Here is a 14,769-nt window from a genome sequence, read left to right on the forward strand (position 1 = left end):
AGCAGCATTTTAAGTGGATACTCACAGCATCTGAGCTTGCCTCAATAGCAACAGGAGGTGACTATGAAATTACTACATTATCACAGTATGCTCTACAGTTCATTTTGTGCAGCATGATTTAATACTGCATCTTTCCATTTGTTTACATTTCTGTCCACTGTGAAGGATGCCATACATGATCTGTGTTTGTGTGCATCTGTTTTGATAAATTTTAACTTTGCAAGTAGATCTGTGTATATTTTATAGTAGCAAATGATAAAATAGATGAGCATCTGCATATATTTTTAGCATTTTTACGTAGCTAACTTTTTCTTAAAAATTTTCAGTGTTTCTAGACTATACAATTCATCTGAGAGTTTTTTCAAATTGTCACAAATCTCCAAAAAATTTTTCCAATATGTTTATTGAAAAAGATCCATGTATAAGTGGAGCTGCATAGCTCCCGGGTCAAGTGTATATTGGACTATAGACACTTTACCATAAACCACTAAAAGAATCATAAGCACTGGTTCTGAGGGGTAAGACTTGGAGGCAAGGAGGGCTGATGAAGAGAGCTGCTTCTCCTAAGCTGCCTAATTCTGATTGTTCATACTATTCAGAGGTATTATTCTGATAAAAGTGAAAATTAAATTTTAAAAAATTAAGTCCAAAGAAGAATGTTAACTGAATAATAAACAGGTCAATATGAAAGAAATCACGAAGGCCTCAGAAGCACTGCTTCGGCAATGAAGAAGCACTGGAAAGTTTTTGCAAGCAAATGCCATGATCAGAACTATATTTTTAATATATGTGACTTTTAAAATAGAGACGGGGTCTTGCTATGTTGCCCAAGCTGGTGTCGAACTCCTAATCTCAAGTGATCCCCCCTGCCTTGGCCTCCCAAAGTGCTGGGATTAAAGGCATGAGCCACCCCACCTGGCCCCAGCACCGTATTTTACAAAGAATAGGAGGGAGATAGAAAAAACAAACCATAGACAAAAAGAAGGAGAGCTTGAATTAAAAACAACAACAAAAACCACAACCAAACAATAGAAATGTGTTGACAAAAGGAGTCAAACTCTGTAAAATATTTGAAGGGATTTATTCTGAGCCAAATATGAGTGACCATGGCCGTGTCACAGCCCTCAGGAGATCCTGGGAACATGTGCCCAAGGTGGTTGGGGTGCAGCTTGGTTTTATACATTTTAGAGAGGCATAAAACATCAATCAAACACATTTAAGAAATACATTGGTTTGGTCCAGAAAGGCGGGACAACTCAAAGCAGGGGGTGGGGTTGGAGGGGGCGGGACAGCTTCCAGGCTATGGGTGAATTTAAACTTTTTCTGGTTGACAATTGGTTGAGTTTGTCTAAAGACCTGGGATTGATAGACAGCAAATATTCAGGTTAAGATAAAGACTGTGGAGACCAAAGTTCTTCTGAAGTCTTACAGTAGCTGCCCTTAGAGACAAGAGATGACAAATGTTTCCTATTCAGATCTTAGTTAATCTCTTTAGGATTGGGAGGGTCTGGAAAAAGAAGGTCTAGCTATGTTAATGGAGATTTTTACAGATGCAAATGTTCCCCCCACAAGGAACAGCTTTGCAGGGCCATTTCAAAATATGGCAAAGAAACATGTTTTGGGGTAAAATATTTTGATTTTCTTCCTTGTCTTGTAATGTTACGCCAGAGGCAGGTTGGAAAGTTAAGTCACGATATATATAAAAATAAAACCCGTCTGATGAGAATTTATGATTTATGGGGCATGACTCCCCAGACCCCTTATATAGGAATTTGGGCAAGATAAAAAAATCAGAGTTTAGTTCTCAAATGTCTGGCGAACACCATACTGAATGGAGGAAACAGCGCTTTGGACTCCATTTGTGGCGGGAAGATCAGAAGGGTGTAAGCGTTGGTCACTATAAGGATGTCTCAATCTTTATCCATCTAGTAATTCTCCAACTATAAATTAGTTATCCCCAGGAAAGGGATAGCCAGTGAGGGAGTCATGAACATCATAGTCTTTCTTGTAGAATACCATCTCATATATGGATAAAAACCACCCTGGGTTATGAATCAGTCTTTCAAGAGCTTTCACCTAGTGTGGATTTTTAGCCATGTCTCAATCAGACCACCCTTGAGTAAACTGACCATCAAAGTTCTGGACCTAAGAGCTGAGAAGCCAAACCTTGGAAGTAATGATGCTTGGATAAAAACCACAAAGCCATGCTTACTCATACATCCTTTCACTCACCAGGGCTCTGGCCTACGTGTTTAGTAACATAGACTAAGGAATGACAGGTTAACTTTTTTCTTTATAACACAGCTACAAAAAGATGGAACAGAGAAAATGGGGTAGACAATGTATCTGGATTTCAGGAAGACATGTAACAAAAACGGAAGCCATTACACCTGTGATTAATGAATCAGAAACATCCTCTTCCAGAAAAGTCTACGTGAGGGTCCTAAGTCTACGTGAGGGTCCTATGCAGGTCCAGGAGAACTGGGGATTCTGAGAAATTAGGACAGACGTGCACTAGGAACAGAAGAAAGAATCGTACCTACTGGAATGCACTCAGGCCAAGCCACAAACTGGAAATCAGAGTTAAGCCCAGGTTCTCCCTACCCCCCCTACTGCTCAGAACCTCTCTATTCCAAGTATGGTACTCAGCCAGCAGCAGCCACTGCCCAACCCCCTGCCCCCGCCCCCACCAGAGCTGGTTAGACATGCAGAATCTCAGGCTCCACACCTCAAATCTAACAAATCAAATCTTCATTTTAACAAGATATCACCTATGCCCATTAAGTTTGGGAAGCACCAACTTAGGAGAGAAAGGAGTCTTTCCGGTTTCTGCCTTCCCCCGTGGTGCCTGCAGGCGTAGAAACTAGGCAAACACCTGGTGTTTAAAGCTGTCTAGATAGTAACAGAATCATTTGTATACTATGAAAGTGCTAAGGAGAATCTGGCAACTATGTATCTTCTGGAAAAGGCACTGATTCCAGGACACTCAATTATGTCTTAGGAGCTTGATTTTGGAGTTAAATGAGAAGAATACAGCATGAATCACGGATTTCCCTTTATAGCCGCCTATTTTATTTAAACAAAAAATGCTAAACATTAATTTTAGTTGTACTTAATTGAATAATTTCTCAGGGGAATCGTTCAGGGAGAGTTTAAAACTGCCTGTTTCCAAAAGCCATTACAAATTGGCATATACTATTATGTCACTGTGCCAACCAAAACAGCACACTTTAATGTCCCTGAGGCCGCCTTCGCTCCAGATGTGTTCAGAACTCCTAGTAATGTAATGCAGGCAAAAACCATATTTACATGAAGTCGTGTTTTGAATATCCTTTTCCAATTATCTGGAATGAGATAATAGATCCCTAATTGGAAGCACTGGGGGGAAAAAAAGCCAGGTCAGTGGTTCCTCCCTTGTGAATGCTTTTATTAGTGAAAACTAAAACAGTCTGTACAAAAGTAAGAGAAATCTCCTTTGCCACAGTTAATCATCGGAACATCTATAAACTTAGAAACTGCCCTATGGTCACCTCTAATTAGCCAGCTGATTTTTAAAAGATTGATCTTGTCTTTTCCTATGAATCGTAAGTACGAAAGGATTGGGGGTGGGGGAGGGAGAAATGGAATGCAAGGGCAAGAAATCCAAAAACTGCTTTGGCAAGAGAACAGACAAATGCGATGGCTGTACAGCTGTTGCTCCCTCCACCTTCATCCCACCCAAATATCTTCCACTCTGTTTCATGCTTGCATGAATGGCATGGATTCTGAATTTCTCTTTTATTCCTGACTAATGATGGTCATAACATCACTACCAGATAAGTCATCATTGCTTATGATTGAGTTAATTTCTATTTCAAATTATATCTGCTGATAAAGAATCATCTGTTTATTCTCAAAGCATGTATAAGTAAAAATTAAATAGCAAATTTTACACTTTTTGCTAAAATTGTACGTTTCCTTCCTTAACATTCATTATCTAATAGAGCTTAAATTTAAGTCAAATAAGTGTTTTTGTACAAATCGGCATTTCTCTTCCATTACAGTGGAGACTGGCTCCCACACGTCATAAAACGCGGTAACGTGCCATGCAATCAGGCACGCTCAGTTACTGGAGTTGTCTATCTTCACAGATGTCACAGAGAAGCCATCTGAAAAGCTACGCATAGTGCAGCTGTTCTTGGCTGTTAGCAAGATAAACTTGGAAACCTTGATCTTTCAAATGTTCAAAATCGGAATGGGTTTTCCAAATATAAATTAATTACCAAATTCCATGTGTTGACAAGCAAACACTCTAATGTTTACGTTTCAACTTGACAAAAGAAATGTAAGCATATTATCCATAAACTTCTAAAAGAAACAAACTCCATGTATTAACTTCATTACATTTTTTTCCTAAAATGTTTAAAAACATTATCATGAAATGTAACATACGAAGAGAAAAGCAAAACTTATGTGTACAGTTTAACAAATGATTACAAAGCAAAACCACGTAGTCTCAAAAAATCTCAACTCATTTACTCAATGGGCAATCAACAAACATTTACAATACACCAGGCACTGTGTTAGGTGCTAATTTGAACACTTAGGAAGTATTACTTGTTAGCATTATTTGCTCAAATAACAACCACTGCAAAGTCCATAATTCTTACCTACCTGTGTTTCAAGGCAAACAAATATATACTTTATCATGTGGACAAGGAGCATTTTCCTCCAATAAATCTACCCTAGAGGTTTGTACTCTTGGGATACTTAACAATATATCACTTCTGAAAGGACCACAAGAAAGTGCTTGGTGGTCAGTAACACCCAGATGTGAACTTTTCTCTCTGACCTATACTAGCAGTGAATGATGTTCTCAATGTCTCTCTGATTAACCCTTGAATTCAGGCCTCTTCCTCCAGAACAAAGGCTTCCCCACTTGGGAGCTGCTTAGAACTTTCCCAAGCACCTTGCAAAGTGTCTTATTTTTCATACTGTGCTTAGATCTGAAAAAAGCCTTTGTTGTAGCATGAAGACTCTAAAATCCCTGGCTATAAAACGAATGTTCTCAACACCAGGAAAAACACAGTCCATAGCTTTGCTTTAAGAGAAATTGTTTTGCCTAATTAATCACAAAGTTTTCAAGTAAACTTGGTTTGTAAAATTCTCAAAAGCAGTTCAGCTGTTTCCAAATTGCACATCGGAAAATTCCTATGTTACATAGTCCGGGATAATCAATGTTAAAACAATATACATAACAGGATCGTTTCCTCACTAGGTTCCATTTCTGTCAGGAAGGGAGGGAGAATTTTAAGCCAAAATCGTAATTCAAGCCAATAATCTGCAAACTTGGGTGTACAAGATGATTCACTGGAATGTGGAAAGAAAATACTAAAATTTCCATTAATATGCTGCATTTACTTCTTAATCTCTCAGCCTTTTTAGAAGCAACCTAATATATAGAACAGTAGTATATATAATTTTTCAGATACAATTATAAAAATATTCGAGAGGGTTGCTCATAATTCCTACTAATGGGATGCATGATCTAAAAATGTTGGAAGTCACTGTACTAAAAGTGGTATAGACAAGCTATAAAAGAATACAAGTACATGGAACTCAAAAGTCTCAAAAGTTAAATATCTTTGTCATTATTCAATTAAATATTAAAGTCCTAGTAGTAAAAAGTGAGTATTCAGTCAACTTGAGTTGACGGAGGATTAAAAAATACACAAATACATAGTCCAAGGAACACAGTGGTAAGATGTTAATATTAGGGAAACTAGGGTGAGGGAAATAAGAAAGCTCTTTGCATTATTTTTGCAACTTTTCTATAAATCTAAAATTGGTTCAAAATCAACACTTAAAGTGACTTGTAACTAATCACAGCAGCAATTTTTTTTTTTTTTTGAGACGGAGTTTTGCTCTTGTTGCCCAGGCTGGAGTGCAATGGCACAATCTCAGCTCACTGCAACCTCTGTCTCCCAGGTTCAGGTGATTCTCCTGCCTCAGCCTCCCGAGTAGCTGGGATTACAGGCATGCACCACCACACCCAGCTAATTTTGTATTTTTAGTAGAGACAGGTTTTCTCCATGTTGGTCAGGCTGGTCTCAAACTCCCGACCTCAGGTGATCCGCCCATCTCGGCCTCCCAAAGTGCAGGGATTACACGCGTGAGCCACCACACCCGGCCTCACAGGAGCAAATTTTGAAAATTATTTTAAATAAAGCAGAGTGGAAGTTACCCTAAAATGGAAGTTACTCATGTGCATTCCCCCACACCCAGGCTCTCCATCCTATGCCATAGATCACCATAACTGATGTGCCCTCGACATTATCTCAGAGCCCTCATTCCCTTCAGCATTTAAGAGTTTCTGTCAAAATACATATTTGTTCACAGAGTGCTCTCTGCATGTAAATATAATTCGTCTTTAGAGTTCTGATAGAAGATGATAAAAATAGGTTGAGAACTGCTGAACTATAGATTGAGGGGTGTAGAGGAAGTAGAGAAAGGACGTAATCAAAGAAAAAAATCATGAGAATTTCCGAACATGATTAGATGTTTGCTTTAGGAAGAAAAGTTGCAATAGGACAAAGGGTGCCTATTTAATAGTAACTGGACACTATGTGTTAGGCATTGGGCTAAGTCCTAGATGTATAAGAATGACTGACTGATGGAGATACAACCCTGACCCTCAAGAAGCTTACTAGAGAAAAAAATACCAGAAAGGAGGCTGTGCAATAGCACTGAGATGTAACAGGGAGCTGAACTAGGCCAGTGGTGGAAGACCGGCCAGGAGCAACACCAGGGAGCAGAACTCACCCAATCTGTTATGAGTAGGAAATTCTTTGCTCACAGGCAGACTGACCAGGGCTAAGTGGGTCTTTTCACTGGAGACAGAGAGAATGGCAGTTCAACACCCCTACTCTGTTATTGCACATCAACTGGCAAGCACTGCCCAAAGGTAAAATGTGGACAGAGAGGCCAACAACCTAGGCTGGTAGCTGGGGGACATGGAGCTGTGATTCTTGGGAATTCTTAGGAACACAGCTGTGAACGTAAAGGAGACCTGTTTCTCAAGACTTGTAGGTTATTTACATTTGTGCACCCAGAAAAGGGCTTCCTGAGCATCAGATTGTAATTGCACAGATAGGAGCTAAGGGTTTTCAATGGTAGCCTTTATCTCTCCATTGTTTTTCCCCCTAGTCATATCTACCTCAGATCTAAAGAAACAAGCTTCAATCCTTGAGAAACTACTGCCAAGCTTCCAGTGTTTCCACTACCCCAACACTATGTATATCCACAGAATAAATAGGTGAATACAAAGAAGCCAGAGAACAAGGGCTTCTGAGTGAAAGTGGGGCCAAGTGTAACTGTGAGAAGCTGACTGCCAACACAGATGGAGGGCTGTGCTCGTGTATACCTCAACGGAAAAAAACTTGCAGGGACAGCCACAAATATATGTACGTATGTAAGTATGTATGCATCTATCGATCCATCCATCGATCCATCCATCCATCCGTCCATCTAACCGTCCATCCACCCATCCGCCCACCCACCTATCCACTCAACCATCCACCTATCTATCCAACAAATCATCCATCCACCCACCTACCCATCTGTCCATCCATCCATCCATCCATCCAACCATCTATCTGCCCGTCCGTCTGTCCATCCATCCATCCACCCATCTGTCCATCCATCCATCCATCCATCCATCCATCCATCCATCCATCCATCCAACCATCCATCCATCCATCCATCCATCCATGAAAGCAAATGCCAGCATCCAAGAGGTGGCGAAAATCCAGCACAGACTCCTGAGTGAAGGTAAGTGGTAGCTACAGAATTTCCCTAAGAAAGGCACAGAGCATCAGTCAAATTGGAGGGAAAGGGCTGGAACACTGCTTCTCAAACTCTCTGTGGTGCAGAACTTTTTTTTTTTCATTTTCAATGTGTCACAGACAAAAGCTTTTGCAAAATACAACAAAAATGATTTACTAGGAAAATTAAATTTTTAAGCCCATTAACAGTATAACTGGATGTCATGGCAACACCAAATGTTATAAAAGTCTGAATTCTTATTCTCAATGTCATACTTACCTCATTGCAAACTGGTAACAAACAGCTCAAGGACAGGCACTTGTCTCATAACCATGCTTTGGGCTAGGGGACTTGTGTGAAGTCGAGTTGACAGAGTAAACTGTCTGAGGTACTCAGTGAGAACTAAAGCTGACACCCAGGTGTCACAGGGTGAGACCGCTCTACCCAGGGTCAACCACAAGAACCAGTCAGGCACAAATCTGTTTGTGTCTGTTTTGGGTCTTCTTTCTCACCCAGTCACAAAACACAGCTTTTGATACTTGCTTTGTTTGGAAACTGATACCTGAGTTCTGCTTTTTTTTTTTTTTTTTTTTTTTTGAGTTGGAGTTTCTCTCTTGTCATCCAGGCCGGAGTGCAGTGGCACCATCTTGGCTCACTGCAACCTCTACCTCCTGGGTTCAAGCGATTCTCCTGCCTCAGCCTCCCGAGTAGCTGGGATTACAGGCACCCGCCACCATGCCCAGCTAATTTTTGTATTTTTAGTAGAGATGGGGTTTCACCATGTTGGCCAGGCTGGTCTTGAACTCCTGACCTCAGGTGGCCCACCCGCCTCGGCCTCCCAAAGTGCTGGGATTATAGGTGTGAGCCACCACGCCCGGTCTGCCTGAGTTCTGCATTCCACCCCATCCCACAGCCTGAGGAAGGACAATAGGCCTCAACACACAGTTGTAACAAGGTTGGTGGACAACAGCCTCTTTTTCTAGCATCTTCAAACCTCTTTTCCTTTCTCCAGGCACCTTTCCTTCTGCCTTTAAACACATCAGCCTGGGGTCCTCTCCTTGTGTCATAAACTAATTATAAAATGAAACCTCAAGATCCTTCACTTGATGTTGACGCCCTCCCTAGTTTTCTCCTGTGTTAGTTTGCACCTTTCTTTCATTAACAAGTTCCTGGTATCTGTAGCCTCAAATAAGGTCCTAGAACCTGGCTTCTACTCTACATACTCTAGTGAACCCATCAATGACCCTGGGACATGACTGTTACAAAAGCAATGGCTTTTCGGCGGGTGCGGTGGCTCACTCCTGTAATCCCAGCACTTTGGGAGGCCGAGGCGGGAGGATCACAAGGTCAGGAGATTGAGCATCCTGGTTAACACAGTGAAACCCCATCTCTACTAAAAATACAAAAAATTAGCCGGGCGTGGTGGCAGGCGCCTGTAGTCCCAGCTACTCAGGAGGCTGAGGCAAGAGAATGGCGTGAACCCGGTAGGTGGAGCTTGCAGTGAGCCAAGATTGCGCCACTGCACTCCAGCCTGACTGACAGGGCAAGACTCCGTCTCAACAACAACAACAAAAAGCAATGGCTTTTCTTCTGTATCATCTTATCCAGCTTCTTCATGGCTTTTGAAATAGGCTGTTCACCCAGCCTTTGAAACTCTCATCTACAAATCCCAAAATAACATACTAACCCATTTCCAGCTTCTATGCTGGCATCCCTTCTTCTTTTGGAGTTTTCTCACGTCTTTGCCCTGGCTGCTCTTGCTTGTAACAGTAATGAGTTCTCCTGGATTTATTTACAACTTTATAATGAACCCCACTTGGGCCACTCCAGGCAGTCATTTCCCTTGAGTTCTCATTCCCTATCTCCAAGTGTCTCCAGAGCTGTGCTGACGTGAAGGTTTCCTGTTACCTTACACCTGCTTCTCAGCCCTGGTTGCACATTAAAAGCATGTGGGTTATTTTAAGTCATACCTTACCTAGGCTTCATTCTCAGAGATCCCAACTTAATTGGACTAGGGTGAAACTGCCTTGCAAAGATGATGACATCGAGAGAAATGTAGCATGGCTGACTCCATCCTGCTTCTAGCCTCTCAGGCTGGCTGTCCTTTGCTCAGTCCTGGACACAGGCCAAATTAACTATGGGAGGAATTTAGTTTGTAGTTTAATTTTTTTTTTTTTAAGATGGAGTCTCGCTCTGTTGCCCAGGCTGGAGTACAGTAGCACGATCTCAGTTCACTGAAACGTCCACCTCCCAGGTTCAAGCAATTCTCTGCCTCGGCCTCCCGAGTAGCTGGGATTACAGGCACATGCCACCACGCCCGGCTAATTTTTGTATTTTTAGTAGAGACGGGATTTCGCCATCTTGGCCAGGCTGGCCTTGAACTCCTGACCTCGTGATCTGCCCACCTTGGCCTCCCAAAGTGCTGGGATTACAGATGTGAGCCACCACGCCCGGCCTGCAGTTTAATTTTTAAGCCAGGATAATAGTTATTCCCTAAAACAAACCCCCTCCTTGCTCAGGGACTGAAACCACCTTTGAAAAAAAACTAATGAAATCCCATGAGATTAGGATTATGCAAGGGGCTTGAATTCTGCTAAAATGTACACAGTTAGAGGATAACCAGCCAGTGTTTTGGAGGTCACAAGATTTCTAACTACCCCAATTGTTCCTATAGATAACATCATTATTGTAGAAGTCAAGATTGATCTTTTGAGATGTTTTTTCAGATTTTTCCATTCTGGCAACCAACTGCCTTGACCCAGACCTGTGACTCATGACTCAGCGGGTCCTGTGGCCCCCTACCCAGAGGCTGACTCAGTGCACACAGACTGTTTTCCACACCCCTATGGGTTCCTCTCCAGCCAATCAGCAGCACCCATTACTTAGGCCCCTGCCCACCAAACTATCCTTGAAAAACCAAGCTTTCTGGGAAGCTGATTTGAGTAATCAACTTCTGTCCTTCTGCTTGGTTAGCTCTGCATTAAACTCTTTCTCTACTGCAATAACGCTGTCTCAGTGAATTGGTTTTGTCTGTGTAGTGGGCAAAAAGAACACGTTAGATGATTACAGAGTTAGGGCCAAAGCTTTAGTATATTTTTTTCCTTTAATGCTAAGCCTATAAAACCATTGCCAAGGAACGATTTTTCTCAAAGTTAGATGCACCCTGGAATCACCTAGAGGAGCTTTAAAATTACAGATGCCCGTTTCCTACTCCCAGAAATTCTGATTTAGTTAGTTGGGGTATAATAAAAAATCTATTTGTCTTTGTCCCCAGTTCCTGGCACAAAGCTCCTAAAACTCTTGTGATTTCCTTACTAATAGGAGTGTCTTTTGTTATTCATAAAAAACCCCTTGTTAAGCCCCTAGCATAAACATATCTGAGTTTATGCTAATGAGGTGACCCTCAGTGGGGCCCTAGATAGCTTCAGGATGGGGACTGGTCTCCAGAAGGAACCAACCATGTGATTACAGAGTTGGAACTCTTAGCCCCCAAACCCAACCTCTGAGGTGGTGAGACAAACTGGAGACTGATGTCAATCACAAATGGCCAACGATGTAATCAATCATGCCTATGTAATGGAACCTCCACGAACACCCCTAAATGATGGGACTCAGAGAGCTTCTGAGTAGGCAAATGCATCCCTGTGCCAGAAGGGGGTTGCATGCTCACTCCACGGGGACAGGAGCTCCTGTGCTGGGGACACTTCTGGACCTTGCCCTAAGTGCCTCTTCATCAGGCTGTTCCTTGCATCCCTGGTAACAAAATAGTACAGCATTTTCCTGAGCTCAGTGAGTTGTTCTAGCAAATCATCAAACTTGGTAGAAGATTGTGGGAACCTCCAGTTTGTAGCCACGTTGGACAGAAGTGTGGGTAAACTGGAGACCCAGTGCTTGCAGCTGGTATCTGAAGTAAGGGCAGCCTTGTGAGACGGAGCCCTTCAAACTGTGGAGTCTGATGCTAATTAGAGCCAGAATTGAACCAGACTGTAGCACAGCCAAGTGGTGGCAAGGAATCAGAGACGTGGTATTGGAAAAGTCCCCATATATTTGTTGTCAGGAGGGAAAAACCTCTGATTGGTATAGGGTGCAGCCCAGACATCAGGCATCAGGATTTTAAAACTCTCAAGGTGATTCTAATAGGCAGTGAAAGTCGAAAACTAACAGTAAGTGTGGGATACATCCCCATTAGGAGATGGTTCTAACAACATGCCAGCAGAGACAATCTAAGAGGATTTATTCAAGAAATTAAAGGCAAAGGACTTTCTCCTCAGAGAATGCCCTTTTACCATGTTCTTTCCGTTTTTCTAAAAAAAAAAAAAAACAAAAAAAAAAACAAGGCTGGGTGCAGTGGCTCACGCCTGTAATCCCAGCACTTTAGGAGGCTGAGGCAGGCGGATCATGAGATCAGGAGATCGAGACCATCCTGGCTAACACGTGAAACCCCGTCTCTACTAAAAATACAAAAAATTAGCCGGGCGTGGTGGCGGGCGCCTGTAGTCTCAGCTACTTGGGAGGCTGAGGCAGGAGAATGGCATGAACGTGGGAGGTGGAGCTTGCAGTGAGCTGAGATCACGCCACTGCACTCTAGCCTGGGCGACAGAGCAAGACTCCGTCTCAAAAAAAAAAAAAGGGGGGGGGGAAGGGGGAGGGAGAGGAACATTTGAGAATGAATGCTTTCATTTTTTGCCCACACCCCCCCCTCTTTTTTTTTCTTTTTTTTTTTTTTTTAAAGAGATGGGCTCTCTCCCTGTCACCCAGGCTGGAGTGCAGTGGCACCATCACAGTTCACTACAGCCTCAACCTCCTGGGCTCAAGCAATCCTCCCACTTCAGCCTCCTTAGTAGCTGGGACTACAGACCTGTGCCATCATCCCTAATTTTTTTCAAAAATTGTTTTGTAGAAATAGGGGTCTCACTATGTTGTTCAGGCTGGTCCAGAACTCTTGGCCCCGAGTGAGCCTCCTGCCTCAGCCTCCCAAAGTCCTGGGAGTAGAGGTGTGTATCACCATGCCCAGTTCGTTATTTTATTTAAAAAATTTTTCTTAGACACAGGGTCTCACTATGTTGAGATCGCCCAAGGTGATCTCAAACTCCTGGCCTCAAGTGATCCTCCCACCTCAGCCTCCCAAGTAAGCTGGGACTGTATAGGCATAAGCCACCATTAATTGCTTTGATTTAGAATTAATGGTTTTTAATTTACCTTATAAGAGGCCAATTAAAATCAATCACCTTTTTAACAAGGTGTGTTTTGGGGAGTGGACTACAGATCCCAGAAAATACATGGAACCAGTTGGATCATTCACAAGAGAAGGGTGGAAGTTGAATTTCAACAGCAAAAAGGACAACAAATGGGAGGTAGATATTAAGTATCGAGAATGCTCTATCTGGGAATTCCAACAGCTTCTTACATTGCATGGTGAAAACCTTTCTGTTAGCAGAGTTGGTCACTGGGTCCATGAACGGTCACGGCCTCAGGATGAGGCCCCAAACTTAACCTCCACTGAGAAGACTGTGTTTCCTGAGCCCATAGAGCTCTATTTTGCTCTTATGGACCTGAATTTTACTTAAAACAAACAAAACAGGTGGTGAGAAGAGTGAGCAGAAATACATATCCAGTCTAACTGCAGAATCCCATAAGATTCACGGAAACTTCAGAGGAAATAGGAAATTATCTGTGTAGAAACCTTTTCTTTTGGCATAGGCTAACTTTTCAGTAATTGTGTAAAAGTTACCCTCATTGTTCATTTGACTAAACTACTGTGGTTTATTGTGCAGTGGCGTTAAACTATCAAGAATCAATCTGCTGAACCCACTTAAACCCATTCTGTAATATTAGTGTTGGGCTGTTTAGATGAATTAGTCACACATCTCACAGTCTCTCTTACAACATTCTTGGTGAAAAATTAGAAAAGCATGAGCTCAATGTGTATTCTTAGATGGGTAACCCCATGGCACAGGGACCGCACTCAGGAAATATTCGTTGACTGAAGGAGTCCTGAGAACTCATCAATCATATTCAACATCGGCCGCCAGGGACTCAGAAATCCTTGCCCACAGCAGCGGCCCTGAACCTCTGCAGTTCTCTTAAGCCCGTGGCTCCACAGCCACCTCCCTTTTTCTCAGCAGGTGTTCTCATCAATTATTTCCTAAAGGGCACGACTCCGCCAAGTTAGCTCTCTTCCTTCGACCAGTAACCTTACCTATAGGTGCCTATCAGTTCCATTCTAAATGTCCCCTCTCCTTCTCCAGGGAGGACCCTCGCCTATCTGCTGCCACCGTGGCCCGCCCACAGCACTTTCCCGCATCTTCACCTTCTCGGTTCTGGCCTGTTTCTCAGTCCATAGACATGCTCCAACCCCTCCCTTCTATTAAACCAGCCTTCATGCTCATGCTTACTAAGCTTCCTTCTTCCTTTCAACACCAACCTTCTTGAGAGGTTAAGTCTACAATTCTGCCCCCACAACTTGAATCCTCATACACTCACAACCCACTACAACTGAGCTTGAGGCGCGATTATTACGGGGACAGTGTTCCTGCCGAGGTCATCAGTGACTTACTGGAAAATTCCAATGGCTTATTTTCAGTCTTCCGTCTATTGATGAGAGTTTGCACTCTCGTTTTATCCAACCAGAAGAGAGTCTCTCAACTTAGAATTGTGGACGGTCATTTTCATAGGCAACATTTACGTGCATGTGCCTTTAAGTACATTAGGGGGTGGAAATGGAGATGAGTCCCATTGTTCCACCAGTTTCTCAGCGGGCTCTCTGACCTCCCTTGAAATGAAGAAACGCAACTGGACTATTGCAATAACCTCCAAATTCGTTTCCCCAACTTGAGTCCTTGGATCTCAATCCTATACCTATCCCTAATCTAACCTTTGCATTACTATAGAATTTTTTTTGGCTGGGCACTGTGGCTCACACCTGTAATCCCAGCACTTTGGGAGGCCGAGGCGGGCGGATCACCT

The 14,769-nt window shown here is 42.7% G+C and overlaps 1 protein-coding gene across 4 annotated transcripts in view, besides 1 other annotated feature; it reads right to left on the reverse strand.

The window, feature by feature from the left end:
* The window catches only part of STX8 (syntaxin 8), a 325,350-nt gene that overhangs the window by 155,937 nt on the left and 154,644 nt on the right, over positions 1 to 14,769 (reverse strand). The window lies entirely within an intron of this gene.
* Positions 8,440 to 8,489: an enhancer, noted in NCBI's record as "active region_11725". NCBI's record gives its function as "activates an Ori minimal core promoter by ATAC-STARR-seq in GM12878 lymphoblastoid cells {active_cell/tissue: GM12878}" and the evidence as "EXISTENCE:reporter gene assay evidence [ECO:0000049][PMID:35858748]".

The sequence above is a fragment of the Homo sapiens genome, chromosome 17 (genome assembly GCF_000001405.40).
Source record: "Homo sapiens chromosome 17, GRCh38.p14 Primary Assembly".
NCBI classification, from domain to species: domain Eukaryota; kingdom Metazoa; phylum Chordata; class Mammalia; order Primates; family Hominidae; genus Homo; species Homo sapiens.